The sequence below is a fragment of the Homo sapiens genome, chromosome 2 (assembly GCF_000001405.40).
Source record: "Homo sapiens chromosome 2, GRCh38.p14 Primary Assembly".
Classification (NCBI taxonomy): domain Eukaryota; kingdom Metazoa; phylum Chordata; class Mammalia; order Primates; family Hominidae; genus Homo; species Homo sapiens.
In genome coordinates this window covers 160,175,189-160,193,455 of record NC_000002.12, presented here as the reverse complement: position 1 = coordinate 160,193,455, position 18,267 = coordinate 160,175,189, and the positions used below count along the sequence as shown (strand labels likewise).

Genomic DNA, 18,267 nt, shown 5'->3' with positions numbered 1-18,267 from the left:
ACTTTCTGTTTCTATAATTTATATTGGTTTTGCCTATTCCTGAATTTTATATAAATATATAATGTAGTATATGCCCTATGTGTTTGGCTTCTTTGGTTCAACATAATGTTTTGAAGATTTACCTATTATTTTGTATGTATCAGGAGTTTGCTGCTTTTTGTTTTAATTAATAATCCATTGTATATATTAACTACATTTTATTTACTCTTTTATTGGTGGACATTTGGGTTGTTTCTATTTTGGGGAGCTATTATGAAAAGGCTGCTATGAGCACTTGCGTAGAAGTCTTTGTATAGATGTATACTTTTACTTCTCTTTGATAGACACCTAAACTGGAGTTGCTGAACTGTATGGTACTTCTACTTTTTAAAGAAACTACCAAATTGTTTTCCAAAGTGAACATACCATTTTGCATTTCCTTCAGTAGTGTGACAGGGTTCCAGATATTGTATATCCTTACTGACACTTGATGTTGTCAGTTTTTAAAATTTTAGCCATTCTAATAGGTGTGGGGTAGCATCTCATTGTAGCTTTAATTTGCATCTCCTTAATAATGAATGATGTTGAGCTCCTTTTCCTGTGTTTATTTGCCATTCTTATTTCTTATTTTGTGGTTTCTTTTCAAATCTTTTGCCCATTTTTTTAAGATTAGACTGTCTTTCCAATATTGTGTGGTAAGAGTACTTTATATATGCTGGATACAAGTTTTTTGTCAAATATATTTTGCCAAAAAATAGATATTTTAGTCAAAAATATTCTCTCCCAGTTTATAGCTTGTGTTTTAATTTTTCTGGCGATACCTTTGGTCAAGCAAAAGTTTGTAATTTTGATGAAGTCCAGCTTATTAATTTTTAATTTTATGGTTGGTGTGTTGTATGTCCTAAGAAATTTTTGCTTACTGTAAAGATCACAAAGACTCTTCCTATATTTTCTTCTAGAAGCTTTATGCTTAACATGCTTACATTTAGGCTTCTGATCTCAGATTAGTTTTTGTATTTGGAATGAGAAGGAAGGTCTAGGTTCATCTTTTGTTTCCACAGAGATATCTAGTTGTTCAAGCACTATTTGTTACACAAGAATTTCTTTTCCACATTGAGTTATCTTAATGTCTTTGTTGACAAGCAATTGACCATATATGTGTGAGTCTAATTCTGGACACTATTCTGTTTCATTGATCCATTGCATATACCCATGTAACCACTAATGCCTCACTACCCCCCTTACAGAGCTTTATAAAAAGTCTTGAAATCAGGAGCATAAATCCTCCAACTTTGTTCTTTCATTTTGTTTATCCTAGATCCTTTGCATTTCCATATAAATTTTAGAATCAACTTGTCAATTTCTTCAAAAAATATGCTGAGATTTTTATTGAGACAACATTGAAACCATAGATCAATTTGTGGGGATATTGAACATCTTACACATATTGAATTTTCCAATCATTTTACATGACATATATCTTCATTTATTCATATCTTGTTTAATTTCTCAGAGCAATGTTTTGTCATTTTCAGGGTAGATATCTTGCACATGTTTTGTTTTATTTATTTCTAGGGACGTTTAACATTTTTATTTTCGAATTCTTTGTGGATAACATGTAGAATTGCAATTGATTTTGCGTATTCACTTTGTATCCTGCAAACTTCATAAATTTTCTCATTAGTTCTAGTGTGATTTTTATAGATTCCTTAGAATTTTCTGTGTATATGATCACATCATCTATGAATAACAACTTCTTTTTCCTCCAATATCTATGCTTCTTCTTTCTTATTTCTTACCTTATTGCACCGACTTGGGTCTCCAGTACCCTTTTAAGTTGATGTAGTAGGTGAGGACAATCTAGTCATGTTCATGATCTTAGGGAGAAAGGATCAGTGTTTTACCATTAAGTATGTTGTTAGCTAGTGGTTTTTCATTTCCTTCCATCAGATCAAAGAAATGATCTTCTATTCCTTGCTTGGTAAGTTTTTTTAAAAAAATTATAAATGGTTGTTAAATTTTATTGCCCCAACTTAAGAGGTTTTGACAGAAATACTCATCACCTTAGACTTGCATCTCATTGGCTGGCACTTAGTTACATGACCACAGTTAACTACAAAGGAAGCACATTGCTAGCTGCCCCTCCAAAATCAGCATTCTGTTATTAGGGAAGAAAGAAAGATGGATACAAGGTGGCATCTGCGAGTAGTTCCTGTGACACTGAATACATAGATTTCTATAAAGAGTTATAAAGACTTATACCCTCAAAAATTCTGTATAATAAAAAGTAAGGTATGATTATTGTTATTAATTGCTTGATTCACTTGTGAAGGGAAATAAGCTTGGTGCTAACAACCTCTTAACTATCTAACATAAAAGTATTGCTAATGCTTTTGGCCCCATTTTTAAAATCAGAGAATATTATACCTGAATAAAATTTGTATTTAGTTCTTTGGTATATTGTGTGTTTCCCCTACAATAAGCTTCCATAGAGAGATTAGTAGGGCAATTCCAACTAGAACTCCAAAGTGCCACCTCTGCCCCAGAGGGTATATTTAAAATCATTCCTCATGTCACAGATCAGGTACGATGTAGCAACATGTAGTACAATAATAACCATGGGAACCAATGAGTGTGGAATGTTACCAGAGAAAATAACTAAAATTAACAAGGTTGCATGGCTCAGCTAAACTAGTATCCCAGCATCTTGAACTAACAATGAGACCCTGTCCTTAATCGGGCTTCAAGTAAATGAAAGCAGTTTGGCTCTTTATTTACCTCTTGACTGTACTTTATTCATGCATTTATTTATTCATTCATTTGTTCAACAAAAATTTACTGAGTTCCAACTATGTACCAAGCAATGTGCCAGGCATGAGTATATTTGGAAGAAAAAGACCTGGTCCCAGTTCTCAAGTAGCTGAAATCCTTTGGGGAAGCAGGTACATAGTATCGCATGGTGATTAACCACAAGGGCTTTGGAGTCAGCCCTGGATTCAGTCTTGATTCATATATTCACTCATAATGTGAGCTTAGGTGAATCATTTCATCTCTCAAGCCTTCGGTGTTTTCGCTGTAAGTCTAGACTAACAATGCCAATCACAAAGAGTGTTTTTTTTTTAATTATACTTTAAGTTTTAGGGTACATGTGCACAACGTGCAGGTTTGTTACATATATATACATGTGCCATGTTGGTGTGCTGCACCCATTAACTCGTCATTTAGCATTAGGTATATCTCCTAATGCTAACCCTCCCCCCTCCCCCCAACCCACAACAGTCCCTGAAGTGTGATGTTCCCCTTCCTGTGTCCATGTGTTCTCATTGTTCAATTCCCATCCATGAGTGAGAACATGCAGTGTTTGGTTTTCTGTCCTTGTGATAGTTTGCTGAGAATGATGGTTTCCAGCTTCATTCATGTTCCTACAAAGGACATGAACTCATTATTTTTTATGGCTGCATAGTATTCCATGGTGTATATGTGCCACATTTTCTTAATCAAGTCTATCATTGTTGGACATTTGGGGTGGTTCCAAGTCTTTGCTATTGTGAATAGTGCCGCAATAAACATATGTGTGCATGTGTCTTTATAGCAGCATGATTTAGAATCCTTTGGGTATATACCCAGTAATGGGATGGCTGGGTCAAATGGTATTTCTAGTTCTAGATCCCTGAGGCATCGCCACACTGACTTCCACAATGGTTGAACTAGTTTACAGTCCCACCAACAGTGTAAAAGTGTTCCTATTTCTCCACATCCTCTCCAGCACCTGTTGTTTCCTGACTTTTTAATGATCGCCATTCTAACTGGTGTGAGATGGTATCTCATTGTGGTTTTGATTTGCATTTCTCTGATGGCCAGTGATGATGACCATTTTTTCATGTGTCTTTTGGCTGCATAAATGTCTTCTTTTGACAAGTGTCTGTTCATATCCTTCGCCCACTTTTTGATGGGGTTGTTTGTTTTTTTCTTGTAAATTTGTTTGAGTTCATTGTAGATTCTGGATATTAGCCCTTTGTCAGATGAGTAGGTTGCGAAAATTTTCTCCCATTCTGTAGGTTGCCTGTTCATTCCGATGGTGGTTTCTTTTGCTGTGCAGAAGTTCTTTAGTTTAATTAGATCCCATTTGTCAATTTTGGCTTTTGTTGCCATTGCTTTTGGTGTTTTAGTCATGAAGTCCTTGCCCATGCCTATGTCCTGAATGGTATTGCCTAGGTTTTCTTCTAGAGTTTTTATGGTTTTAGGTCTAACATGTAAGTCTTTAATCCATCTTGAATTAATTTTTGTATAAGGTGTAAGGAAGGGATCCAGTTTCAGCTTTTTACATATGGCTAGCCAGTTTTCCCAGCACCATTTATTAAATAGGGAATCCTTTCCCCATTTCTTATTTTTGTCAGGTTTGTCAAAGATCAGATAGTTGTAGATATGTGGCATCATTTCTGAGGGCTCTGTTCTGTTCCATTGGTCTATATCTCTGTTTTGGTACCAGTACCATGCTGTTTTGGTTACTGTAGCCTTGTAGTATAGTTTGAAGTCCGGTAGCGTGATGCCTCTAGCTAAGAATTGATGAGTTGGCCAGGTGTGATGGCTCACGCCTGCAATCCCAGCGTTTTGGGAGGCTTAGGTGGGTGAATCATGAGTTCAGGAGTTTGAGACCAGCCTGGCCAATGTGGTAAAACCCTGTCTCTACTAAAAATACAAAAAAATTAGCCAGGCATGGGGGCACATGCCTGTAATCCCAGCTACTCAGGAGGCTGAGGCAGGAGAATCACTTAAACCAGGGAGGCGGAGGTTGCAGTGAGCCAAGACTGAGCCACAGTACTCTAGCCTGGGTGACAGAGCGAGACTACATCTAACAAAAAAAAAAAAAGAATTGAATGAGTTAACGATTAAAAGCATTTGGCATTGGGCCTGACCATGATATGTTCTCAATAAATAAGAGGTACTATTAACAAAAACAGGGTGTGATTAGGGGGAGACCAGAGCACTGCAGGGGGTGCAAAAATTGGAGACCTGAAGGAGAATCATCTATTTGATCTCTTAAAAGGTTCAATATGTCCTATTTTCTGAAGATTATTATTATGGGCAAAATTTACCATTAAGGTGGTAAATAGCAAGTTCTTTTTTGTGGCAAGATTATATGTTTCCCATTTCCATTATAGCCCTAACTCTCTTAGTTTCTCTGTCCAGATAGTATACCCTTGTACACACATACATACATATACATGTCAAGATAAAAAGTCAATCCTCTGATCAAACCAAACCTTATAATTGTAGAATAAAATGTTCTTAGTAGGAAGGCAATTAGAGGTAAAAGGAAAGAGCGTAGGATTTTTCAGACCTGGGTTACAATCATAACTTTGGATAAACCATTACTCTCTTTGAGCTCAGTCTCATTACCTATAAACGGGAATAATAATATTGACCTCCTAGAGTAATTGTGAGAACCAAATGAACTCATAACAAAACAGACATTCAAAACAAATGTTAATTTTTTCTCGCTCTCATTAACACTTACTAATCTCTAGTTATTTTAATCTAGTGGTCCTCAAACTTTTAGATCTCAGGACTCCCTTAGACTCTTGAAAATTAAGAGCCCCAAGAGCTTTAGTTTATGATTATGGTTATATATACCCATAATCATCATACTAGAAAGTAAAACAGAAACATTTTAAAATAATTATCTACTGATTTATTTAATAACTATAATAATAAACCCACTGCATATTACTGTAATATGTTTTTATGAAAAATAACTGTATTTTCTGAAACAAAACAAAAATTAACAGGCCTTCTGCTCTAAAATGGAGTGGCACTGTTTTACATATTCGGAAATCTCTTTAAGCATCTGGTTTAATGGAAGACAACTGGATTCTCTATCTGCTCCTGCATTTAATCTTTTGCCTTTTTCAAAAATTGAATTCCATGAAGAAAGTCAAACCTCATGTAAACATATAGTTGGAAAGGAAGAAGCATATAATAGCTTTTTTCAATGACTGTGGACATTCTTCTTTGATATTACCTTCAAACTAGATAACAGGTGATAGTAGATAACAGGTAAAACTAGATAACAGGTGAAAGTAGTTTCAATGAGGAATCTGAAACATCAGTGAATGTTTCATGTTGTTAAAATGAAAAGCCATTGATCTCTTTTCATTTTGAATGGATTTTTTTAACCAATGTGTGATTTTGTAATATGATGCTTTGTCCTTTGTAAAATATTGATTCAGTGAGCTATGCAGACCTTCCAGATTTCATGATACAATATCAAAAAAAATCACATTTGTTAATATCATTACCATTCTCATCAGACAAATCTTAAAGTATTGAGAAGTATTGTTTTTTTCTATTTTTTATTATTATTATACTTTAAGTTCTAAGATACGTTTGCAGAACGTACAGGTTTGTTACGTAGGTATATATGTGCCATGGTTGTTTGCTGCACCCATCAACCCGTCATCTACGTTAGGTATTTCTCCTGATGCTATCCCTCCCCCTAGCCTCCCACCCCCCCGACAGGCCCTGGTGTGTGATGTTCCCCTCCCTGTGTCCATGTGTTCTCATTGTTCAACTCCCACTTACGAGTGAGAACATGCACTGTTTGGTTTTCTGTTCTTGTGTTAGTTTGCTGAGTATGATGGTTTGAGCTTCATCCAGGTCCTTGCAAAGGGCATGAACTCATCCTTTTTTATGACTGCATAGTATTCCATGGTGTATATGTGCCATATTTTCTTTATCCAGTCTATCATTGATGGACATTTGGGTTGGTTCCAAGTGTTTGCTATTTTGAACAGTGCCACAGTAAACATACATGTGCATGTGTCTTTATAGTGGAATGATTTATAATCCTTTGGGTATATACGCAGTAACGGGATTGCTGAGTCAAGTGGTATTTCTGGTTCTAGATCCTTGAGGAATGGCCACACTGTCTTCCACAATGACTGAACTAATTTACACTCCCACCAACAGTGTAAAAGCATTTCTGTTTCTCCACATCCTCTCCAGCATCTGTTGTTTCCTACTTTTTAATGATTGCCATTCTAACTGGCATGAGATGGTATCTCATTGTGGTTTTGATTTGCATTTCTCTGATGACCAGTGATGATGAGCTTTTTTTCATATGTTTCTTGGCCGTATAAATGTCTTCTTTTGAGAAGTGTCTGTTCATATCCTTTGCCGACTTTTTGATGTTTTTTTTTTTTTTGGAAATTTGTTTAAGTTCTTTGTAGATTCTGGATATTAGCCCTTTGTCAGATGGATAGATTGCAGAAATTTTCTCCCATTCTGTAGGTTGCCTGTTCACTCTGATAATAGTTTCTTTTGCTGTGCAGAAGCTCTTTAGTTTAATTAGATCCCATTTGTCAATTTTGACTTTTATTGCCATGGCTTTTGGTGTTTTAATCATGAAGTCTTTGCCCATGCCTATGTTCTGAATTGTATTGCCTAGATTTTCTTCTAGGGTTTTTATGGTTTTAGGTCTTATGTTTATGTCTTTAATCCATCTTGAGTTAATTTTTATATAAGGTGTAAGGAAGGGGTCCAGTTCAGTTTTTTGCATATGGCTAGTCAGTTTTCCCAACACCATTTATTAAGTAGGGAATCCTTTCCCCATTGCTTGTTTTTGTCAGATTTGTCAAAGATCAGATGGTTGTAGATGTGTGGCATTATTTCTGAGGCCTCTGTTCTGTTCCATTGGTCTATATATCTGTTTTGATACCAGTACCATGCTGTTTTGGTTACTGTAGCTTTGTAGTATAGTTTGAAGTCAGGTGGCATGATGCCTCCAGCTTTGTTCTTTTGCTTAGGATTGTCTTTGCTAAATGGGCTCCTTTTTGATTCCATATGAAATTTAAAGTAGTTTTTTCTAAATCTGTGAAGAAAGTCAATGGTAGCTTGATGGGGATAGCATTGAATCTATAAATTACTTTAGGCAGTATGGCTATTTTCACAATATTGATTCTTCCTATCCATGAGCATGGAATGTTTTTCCATTTGTTTTTGTCCTCTCTTATTCCTTGAGCAGTGGTTTGTAGTTCTTGAAGAGGTCCTTCACATCCCTTGTAAGTTGGATTCCTAGGTATTGTATTCTCTTTGTAGCAATTGTGAATGGGAGTTCACTCATGATTTGGCTCTCTGTCTGTTATTGGTGTATAGGAATGCTTGTGATTTTTGCACATTGATTTTGTATCCTGAGACTTTGCTGAAGTTGCTTATCAGCTTAAGGAGATTTTGGGCTAAGATGATGGGGTTTTCTAAATATACAATCTTGTCATCTGCAAACAGAGACAATTTGACTTGCTCTCTTTCTATTTGAATTTGCTTTATTTCTTTCCCTTGCCTGATTGCCCTGGCCAAAACTTCCAATACCATGTTGAATAGGAGTAGTGAGAGAGGGCATTCTTGTCTTGTGCAGGTTTTCAAAGGGAATGCTTCCAGCTTTTGCCCATTCAGTATGATATTGGCTGTGGGTTTGTCATGAACAGCTCTTATTATTTTGAGATACGTTCCATCAATACCTAGTTTATTGAGAGTTTTTAGCATGAAGGGATGTTGAGTTTTGTTGAAGTCCTTTTCTGCAACTATTGAGATAATCATGTGATTTTTGTCTTTGGTTCTGTTTATGCGATGGATTATGTTTATTGATTTATGTATGTTGAACCAGCCTTGCATCACAGGGATGAAGCCAGCTTGATCGTGGTGGATAAGCTTTTTGATGTGCTGCTGGATTCGGTTTGCCAGTATTTTCTTGAGGATTTTCGCGTCAATGTTCATCAGGGATATTGGCCTAAAATTTTCTTTTTTTGTTGTGTCTCTGCCAGGCTTGTGTATTAGGATGATGCTGGCCTCATAAAATGAGTTAGGGAGGATTCCCTCTTTTTCTATTGTTTGGAATAGTTTCAAAAGGAATGGTACCAGCTCCTCTTTGTACTTCTGGTAGAATTTGGCTGTGAATCCATCTGGTCCTGGACATTTTTTGGTTGGTAGGCTATTAATTACTATCTCAATTTCAGAACTTGTTATTAGTTGATTCAGGTATTCGACTTCTTCCTGGTTTAGTCTTGGGAGGGTGTATGTGTCCAGGAATGTATCCATTTCTTCTAGATTTTCTAGTTTATTTGCATAGAGGTGTTTATAGTATTCACTGGTGGTACTTTGTATTTCTGTGGGATCAGTGGTGATATCCTGTTTATCATTTTTTATTGTGTCTGTTTGATTCTTCCCTCTTTTCTTCTTTATTATTCTGGCTAGTGGTCATCTATTTTGTTAATCTTTTCAAAAAACCAGCTCCTGGATTCACTGATTTTTTGAAGGGTTTTTTGTGTCTCTATCTCCTTCAGTTCTGCTCTAATCTTAGTTATTTCTTGTCCCCTGCTAGCTTTGGAATTTGTTTGCTCCTGCTTCTCTAGTTCTTTTAATTGTGATGTTAGGGTGTCGATGTTAGATCTTTCCCACTTTCTCCTGTGGGCATTTAGTTCTATAAATTTCTCTCTAAACACTGCTTTAGCTGTGTCTCAGAGATTCTACTACGTTGTGTCTTTGTTCTCATTGGTTTCAAAGAACTTCTTTATTTCTGCCTTCATTTCGTTATTTACCCAGTAGCATGTTGTTCAGTTTCCATGTAGTTGTGTGGTTTTGAGTGAGTTTCTTAATCCTCAGTTCTAATTTGATTGCACTATGGTATGAGAGACTGTTTGTTATGATTTCCATTCTTTTGCGTTTGCTGAGGAGTGTTTTACTTCCAATTATGTGGTCAATTTTAGAATAAGTGCGACTTGGTGCTGAGAAGAATGTATATTCTGTCGATTTGGGGTGCAGAGTTCTGTAGATGTCTATTAGTTCTGCTTGGTCCAGAGCTGAGTTCAAGTCCTGAATATCCTTGTATATTTTCTGTCTCATTGATCTGTCTAATATTGACAGTGGAGTGTGAAAGTCTCCCACTATTATTGTGTGGGAGTCTAAGTTTCTTTGTAGGTATCTAAGGACTTGCTTTATGAATCTGGGTTCTGCTGTATTGGGTGCATATATATTTAGGATAGTTAGCTTTTCTTGTTGTGTTGATCCCTTTACCATTATGTAATGCCCTTCTTTGTCTTTTTTGATCTTTGTTGGTTTAAAGTCTGTTTTATCAGAGACCAGGATTGTAACCCCTGCTTTTTTTTGCTTTCCATTTGTTTGATAAATCTTCCTCCATCCCTTTATTTTGAGCCCATGCGTGTCTTTGTACGTGACATGTGTCTCCTGAATACACACCAATGGGTCTTGACTCTTTCTCCAATTTGCCACTATGTGTATTTTAATTGGGGCATTTAGCCCATTTACATTTAAGGTTAATATTGTTATGTGTGAATCTGATCCTACCATTGTGATTCTAGCTGGTTATTTTGCCTGTTAGTTGATGCATTTTCTTCATAGTGTCGACGGTCTTTACAATTTGGTATGTTTTTGCAGTGGCTGGTACCAGTTTTTCCCTTCCATATTTAGTGCTTCCTTCAGGAGCTCTTGTAAGGCAGGCCTGGTGGTGGCAAAATCTCTCAGCATTTGCTTGTCTGTAAAGGATTTTATTTCTCCTTCGCTTATGAAGCTCAGTTTGGCGAGATATGAAATTCTGGGTTGAAAATTCTTTTCTTTAAGAATGTTGAATATTGGCCCCTACTCTCCTCTGGCTTGTAGGGTTTCTGCAGAGAGATATGCTGTTAGTCTGATGGGCTTCTCTTCGTGGGTAACCCAACCTTTCTCTCTGGTTGCCCTTAACATTTTTCCTTCATTTCAACCTTGGTGAATCTGATGATTATATGTCTTGGAGTTGCTCTTCTTGGGGAGTATCTTTGTGGTTTTCTCTGTATTTCCTGAATTTGAATGTTGCCCTGCCTTGCTGTGTTGGGGAAGTTCTCCTGGATAATATCCTGAAGAGTGTTCTCCAACTTGGATCCATTCTCCCCATCACTTTCAGGTACACCAATCAAACATAGGTTTGGTCTTTTCACATAGTCCCATATTTCTTGGAGGCTTTGATTGTTCCTTTTCATTCTTTTTCTCTAATCTTGTCTTCATGCTTTATTTCATTAAGTTGATCTTCAATCTCTGATATCCTTTCTTCCCCTTGATTGATTCAGATATTGATGCTTGTGTATGCTTCATGAAGTTCTCGTGCTGTGTTTCTCAGCTCCATCAGGTCATTTATGTTCTTCTCTAGACTGGTTGTTCTGGTTAGCAATTCCTCTAACCTTTTTTCAAGGTTCTTAGCTTCCTTGCATTGGGTTAGAACATGCTCCTTTAGTTTAGAGGAGTTTGTTATTACTCACCTTCTGAAGCCTACTTCTGTCAATTCGTCAGACTCATTCTCTGTCCAGTTTTGATCTCTTGCTGGCGAGGAGTTGTAATCCTTTGGAGGAGAAGAGGCATTCTGGGTTTTGGAATTTTCAGTCTTTTTGCATTAGTTTTTCCTCATCTTCGTGGATTTATCTACCTTTGGTATTTTATGTTGGTAACCTTCGGATGGGGTTTTTTGTGTGGACGTCCTTTTTGTTGATATTGATGCTATTCCTTTCTGTTCATTAGTTTTCCTTCTAACAATCAGGCCCCTCTGCTGCAGGTCTGCTGAAGTTTGCTGGAGGTCCACTCCAGACCCTGTTTGCCTGGGTATCACCAGCGGAGGCTACAGAACAGCAAAGAATGCTGCCTGTTCCTTCCTCTGGAAGCTTTGGCCCAGAGGGGCACCCGCCAGATGTCAATTGGAGCTCTCTTGTATGAGGTGTCTGTTGATCCCTGCTGGGATGTGTCTCCCAGTCAGGAGGCACGAGGGTCAGGGACCCACTTGAGGAGGCAGTCTGTCCCTTAGCACAGCTCAAGCACTGTGCTGGGAGATTCACTGCTCTGTTCAGAGCTGGCAGGCAGGGACGTTTAAGTCTGCTGAAGCTGTGCCCACAGTCGCCCCTTTCCCCAGGTGCTCTGTCCCAGGGAGATGGGAGTTTCATCTAAAAGCCCCTGACTGGGGCTACTGCCTTTCTTTCAAAGATTTCCTGCCCAGAGAGGAGGAATCTAGAGAGGCAGTCTGGCTACAGAGGCTTTGCCGAGCTGCGGTGAGCTCTGCCGAATTCGAACTTCCTGGTGGCTTTGTTTACACTGTGAGGGGAAATTGCCTACTCAACCCTCAGTAATGGCAGATGCCCCTCCCCCTACCAAGCTCCAGTGTCCCAGGTCGACTTCAGACTGCTGTGCTGGCAGCGAGAATTTCAAGCCAGTGGATCTTAGCTTGCTGGGCTCCATGAGAGTGGGATCTGCTGAGCTAGACCACTTGGCTCCCTGGCTTCAGCCCCCTTTTCAGGGGAGTGAACGGTTCTGTCTCGCTGGAATTCCAAGCGCCACTGGGGTATGAAAAAAAACTCCGGCAGCTAGCTCGCTGTCTGCCCAAACAGCCACCCAGTTTTGTGCTTGAGACCCAGGGCCCTGGTGATATAGGCACCCGAGGGAATCTCCTGGTCTGGGGGTTGTGAAGACAATGGGAAAAGCGAAGTATCTGGGCTGGAATGCACCATTCCTCATGGCACAGTCCCTCACAGCTTCCCTTGGCTAGGGGAGGGAGTTCCTGACCACTTGCGCTTCCATGGTGAGGTGACGCCCCACCCTGCTTCGGCTCACCCTTTGTAGGCTGCACCCATTGTCTAACCAGTCCCAGTGAGATGAGCTGGGTACCTCAGTTGGAAATGCAGAAATCACCTGCCTTCTGCGTTGATCTCACTGGGAGCTGCATACTGGAGCTGTTCCTATTTGATCATCTTACCAGCCTTCTCACTACTGCTTTCATATCATCAGTGCAAATGTCAACACAGTGAAGAAGGCAAATGACATCTCTGAATTACTGTGAAAATAGTTTAACGTGAAGGACCTCCTGCAAGGTCTCAGGGACCCTCATGGGTCTGTGCACCACCCTTCAAAAACCACACCAAACCCCCATCACACACAATTTACCTATATAACAAACCCACACAGGTACCTCTAAACATAAAATAAAAGTTAAATACAAATAAAAATAAAAGCCACCCTTTTTCCAGGTGCAGTGGCACATGCCTGTAGTCCCAGAGCTGGAGGATTGCTTAAGCCCTGGAGTTTGAGTCCAGCCTGGGCAACATAGAGAGTGTCCAAGGCTCTATAAAAAGAAAGAAAATCCACCTCTTTAATCTAATCTTTATGTTTTCTGGAGTAGCTCATTTATTTTCAGTGGATGGAGAGACACTAAAAATTTATTTCACCCTGTTAAAAATGCTGAAGTGGTTTACATTTTTGAAAAGAATTTCTTTTGCTGTTGTCTAAGATACAGCAACATTCTGAAGGTTGTTTTTTTTGTTTGTTTTTTTTTTTTTTTGAGGTGGAGTTTCACTCTTGATGACCAGGCTAGAGTGCAATGGCATGATCTTGGCTCATTGCAACCTCTGCCTCCCAGGTTCAAGCGATTCTGCTGCCTCAGCCTCCCAAGTAGCTGGGATTACAGGCGTGTGCCACCATGCCCAGATGATTTTTTTTTTTTTTTTTTTTGTATTTTTAGTAGAGACAGGGTTTCATCATGTTGGTCTGGCTGGTCTTGAACTCCTGACCTCAAGTAATCCACCTGTCTCTGCCTCCCAAAGTGCTGGGATTACAGGCGTGAACCACCCTGCCCGGCCGAAAGATTTTTGAAACATCATTTTATGTATACTGTGGTGTTTTTTGTTTTGTTTTGAATTTACACCAACAGTGAGTTCATTGTAGTTTTGCAAAAGAGGAAACTAAGCATGAAATGCTGGAATGGGCCGGGCATGGTAGCTCACACCTGTAATCCCAGCACTTGGGAGGCCGAGGTGGGCAGATCACCTGAGGTCAAGAGTTTGAGACCAGCCTGGCCAACACGGTGAAACCCTGTCTCAACTAAAAATACCAAAAAAAAAAAAAAAATTAGCTGGACGTGGTGGTGCATGCCTGTAATCTCAGCTACTCGGGAGGCTGAGGCAGGAGAATCACTTGAGGCAGAGGTTGCAGTGAGCTGAGATGGCACCACCGCATTCCAGCCTGGGCGACAGAGTGAGAGTCCATCTCAAAAAAAAAAAAAAAAGAAAAAGAAAAAAAGAAAAGAAATGCTAGAATGGATTTCCTCTATGTTCACACACATAAACATATATGAGTATATGGTATATAGTTTCTTATTGCAAAGGTAATAAGTCCATGTGAAAATACAGACAAAAGTAAGAAGTGAAAATCATTTCTAACCTCACTCAGGAAAAGACGATATTAATACTTTAGTATATGTGATTATAGTCTTATTTTATAAATATTTATTTAAAATTTTAACAAAAAATTGAAGTAATATTTATATTGTGTTTTATCATTATTTTGCATTTTAAATGCAAATCTCTTTTTATCTAGGGACTCAAAATCAAGTAATTTGGTGAGAGGTGCCTATTTCTTTTAATTGGTAGGCTAAGAAAGTAACAACAAAATATGAACATTTGTTAGAAAATGAACTCTTGCCTGTAATCCCAGCACTTTTGGAGGCCGAGGCGAGCAGATTGCTTGAGCTCAGGAGTTCGTGACCAGCTTGGGCAACATGGTGAGACTCCATCTCTACAAAAAGTACTAACATTAGCTGGGTATGGTGGTACATACCTGTAGTCCCAGCTACTTGGGAGGCTGAGGTGGGAGAATTGCTTGACCCCGGTGGCGGAGGTTGCAGTGAGCTGAGATTGTGCCACCACAACCGCATTCCAGCCTGGGCTACAGAGGGAGACCCTGTCTCAAAAAAAAAAAAAAAAAAAAAGAGAGAGAGAGAGAGAGAAAGATAGAGAGAAAAGAAAATGAACTCTGATCAAAACATGGGCAATATGCACTCAAAATTCCCTGGCGTGAGCCATCTCTGACATTCTGTTTTGCTTTAGCTCTCCTATCACTTGAATTTCTTTAGTGAGTTAAATTAAAATTTTATTCCACTTTCCAAAGGCACAGAGTTCTAGTAAAATCTACATAGCGGATAATTCTAACCAACAAAGATGCAAATCTCTCACAAAAAATAGGACTGCTACCTCTGTGGATCTGGAAGATGCTCAAATGTCATTTCGGTATGGTATGAACCAGTAGCCCCAAATAATAGATTAAACAATTTCCAAGAATAGTTAGGTCCCAGGCACAATGGTGTACCTAACATGATTACATACTTTTTATCTCATATAATCGTCATGGCAACTTTGTGAAATAGATATTATGATCATTCCCATTTTATGGAGGAAGACACTGAGGCCAGTGGTGTTGAATAACTTGCCCAAAGATAGATAACTGGCCGGGCACAGTGGTGCACGCCTGTACTCGCAGCACTTTGGGATGCCAAGGTGGGTGCATCACTTGAGGTCAGGAGCTCGAGACCAGCCTGGCCAACATGGTAAAACCCCATCTCTACTAAAAATACAAAACTTAGCTGGGCATGGTGGCGTGAGCCTGTAATCCCAGCTACTTGGGAGGCTGAGGCAGGAGAATGGCTTGAACCTAGAGGCAGAGGTTGCAGTGAGCCGAGATCATGCCACTGCACTCCAGCCTGGGTGACAGAGTGAGACTCCATCTCCAAAAAAATAAGATAGATAACTGTTCGCTCTTTTTATTCTAAATCCAATGTATTTTCTACCACCCACAGCTACTTCAAGTGCTCTAAGGGCAATTAAGAAATATACTGCATTATTGTCATTTAACAAGTTAAATATTTTGAAAAAAATCAGGCTCCTTTCTTATATCACACTTTAAAAATGCATCTTAGATTTGAAGGTGGGAAGAAGTTTGACTGCATCAAAACTTTTAAGATATATATCCAAAAACACCATGAACAAAATTAAAAGACAAACTACAAAGAAAAAAATGTAATATTTTTAGGATGGTTCTTTTTTTTTTTTTGAGACAGAATCTTGCTCTATCGCCCAGGCTGGAGTGCAGTGGCATGATCTGGGCTCACTGCAAGCTCCGCCTCCCGGGTTCACGCCATTCTCCTGACTCAGCCTCCTGAGTAGCTGGGACTACAGGCACCCACCACCACCCCGGGCTAATTTTTTTGTATTTTTTTTCAGTAGAGATGGGGTTTCACCGTGTTAGCCAGGATGGTCTCTATCTCCTGACCTCATGATCCGCCCACCTCGGCCTCCCAAAGTGCTGGGATTACAGGCGTGAGCCACAGCGCCTGGCCAGGATGGTTCTTAAAATTAAATTAGAATAAGAAATGTAGCAAAGGATATCAGCTAGCAATTAACAAAAGAAGAAATACAAAATGTTAATAAGTAGAAACAATCACTCAATCTTAGTAATAATAAAATGAAAATTAAAACTAACAAATGCCATTTTTTGCTAATCAACTAGTATAGTTTTTTTTAAAAAAAACAATGATGCCATGCCATACACTAATACCACAGATGGCAATGGATACAAACTTTTTTGGAAGAGTTTGGTAATATGAGTCAAAAGATAACCCAGCAATTCACAATCAAAAAATTTATTTTAAGCAAGGATATGGAATAGTTTGTACATATGTATGTAGAAGGATCACTATATTATTTAATTACAAAAATGTTCAAAATAAATGCTCAGCAATAGAAAGATGATCAAATAAACTATGATTCATCTCACAACAATTACAATTTATGTTTTTGATTCTTTTCTTTACACTTTCATATAAAACCCCAATTTTCTTCAATGAACCTGCCTTATTATTTTAATCAGGAAAAAACATTATTCTAGAGATACCATTAGCCAAATCCATTATCTGTACTTAGGTCTGTTCTAGACTGTGTGAAGTGATTTATGTAAGAAATGACAATCATATTTATTATGCATTAACTCTGAAAAGCTCATCGTGCTGTATTCTTTGCCTGTTTGATCCCATTCAAGCCTCATGACAATCCTGCTAGGTAGATACAGTCTGTGGTCAGCACTTTAGAGTTTCAATGAAACCTGATGAACAATATTAAAAATAAGAGAATAAGGTTGTCTTCTGAGAGTTAAAGTTAAACATAATAATTAGGAAAGGAAATTTAAAAATTACCTGGAAGCGACAGACTGGCCCCTGGACCCAGTAGACTAGGTGTATTGATGCAGCTGAAAGGACAGAGAGACCTAGTGGGCTAGGGCAGGACAGAGAAGGGGATGTCACAGAGGCCAGTGTGGGCCACATCCATCCAAGAGCCTCGGCCAACACACTTCCAGAGCTTCCAGTCCCTTTGGTTGCGAGAGCTTTTCAAATTTGTGTTAGCTGAGGAAGTGGACCACAGATGGGGGAGGGGTCAGAAGTGACCAAGAACATCCATTCTGGGGTGGTCGTCTTGGGACATATTGGGCTATGCCATTCAGTGCTGGGTTCCTCCATTTCCCCTAGTTCTGAAGCCTGGGGACATATCCAAACCTCACCTGCTTTCAAGGAAAGTCTACTGATAGGAAGAAAATGATGATACTCACAGGCACAAGCATTCTGGTCCCGGTGAGAGCATCCTTACTCAGTGTGAAAGAGTCCATGATCATTCTGATCTATCTGTACACACAGTCAATTCTCATTATTCATGGTAGTCATGTTCTGCAAACTTGCCCCAAGCAATGAATTATGGAATATTGAATCATTGCTCCCAAGGAAAATATAGGGTTAGGTTCCTGTGAGCCTCTGGCTATCACATTTTCATTAACAAATCACTACACAAACTTATTTTATGTGTGCTTCTATTTAAAGACGCCACATGTAATAGATCTCATTGAATTATAAACATTGAACTCCAGACGAAGGCACTATAACTCATGCCTGAATGAAGCTTGTCTCACACAGCTTATTTTCTCAATGAGACACATCACAGCCTTCTTGCACTTAGGAACACTAAACAGCATTTCAGCATTATGCCTGGGGGCTATTTTAAACAGTGAAACCATCCATGAAAAGCATAAAAATGAAAGAAAGGTGGTACTATGTAGACCGTGAAAAAGACACTGGCTTAGAGTTGGAGGCCTGAAATAAGAAGGCAGAGCACCACCGTGTTTGATTCCAGTTGGGAATGTGCATATAGGGAGATGCTTTGTTTTGGGTTTTTTTGTTTTGTTGTTTTGTTTTGCCTGTCTACACATGTCCACGAATGACTCAGAAAACACGGCAAGTATTAATTAGGGAGTAACAAATAAATCTTAGCAACTAGGTGAATTCACAAATATAGAATCTGTGAATAATGAAGATCAACTGTATACCTCAGGCAGATGAACTTGATGAACTGAAGCCTAACATTGAAAAATGCACCTTCTCGTGCTGACAAA

The 18,267-nt window shown here is 38.8% G+C and overlaps 1 protein-coding gene across 7 annotated transcripts in view, besides 2 other annotated features; it reads left to right on the top strand.

Moving 5' to 3' along the window:
• The window catches only part of ITGB6 (integrin subunit beta 6), a 100,602-nt gene that overhangs the window by 6,817 nt on the left and 75,518 nt on the right, over positions 1–18,267 (top strand). The window lies entirely within an intron of this gene.
• Positions 11,628–12,199: an enhancer, noted in NCBI's record as "H3K27ac-H3K4me1 hESC enhancer chr2:161037768-161038339 (GRCh37/hg19 assembly coordinates)". NCBI's record gives its function as "activates a minimal SCP1, AML or CMV promoter by ChIP-STARR-seq in primed H9 embryonic stem cells {active_cell/tissue: H9 hESC(primed)}" and the evidence as "EXISTENCE:reporter gene assay evidence [ECO:0000049][PMID:30033119]".
• Positions 12,200–12,772: an enhancer, noted in NCBI's record as "H3K27ac-H3K4me1 hESC enhancer chr2:161037195-161037767 (GRCh37/hg19 assembly coordinates)". NCBI's record gives its function as "activates a minimal SCP1, AML or CMV promoter by ChIP-STARR-seq in primed H9 embryonic stem cells {active_cell/tissue: H9 hESC(primed)}" and the evidence as "EXISTENCE:reporter gene assay evidence [ECO:0000049][PMID:30033119]".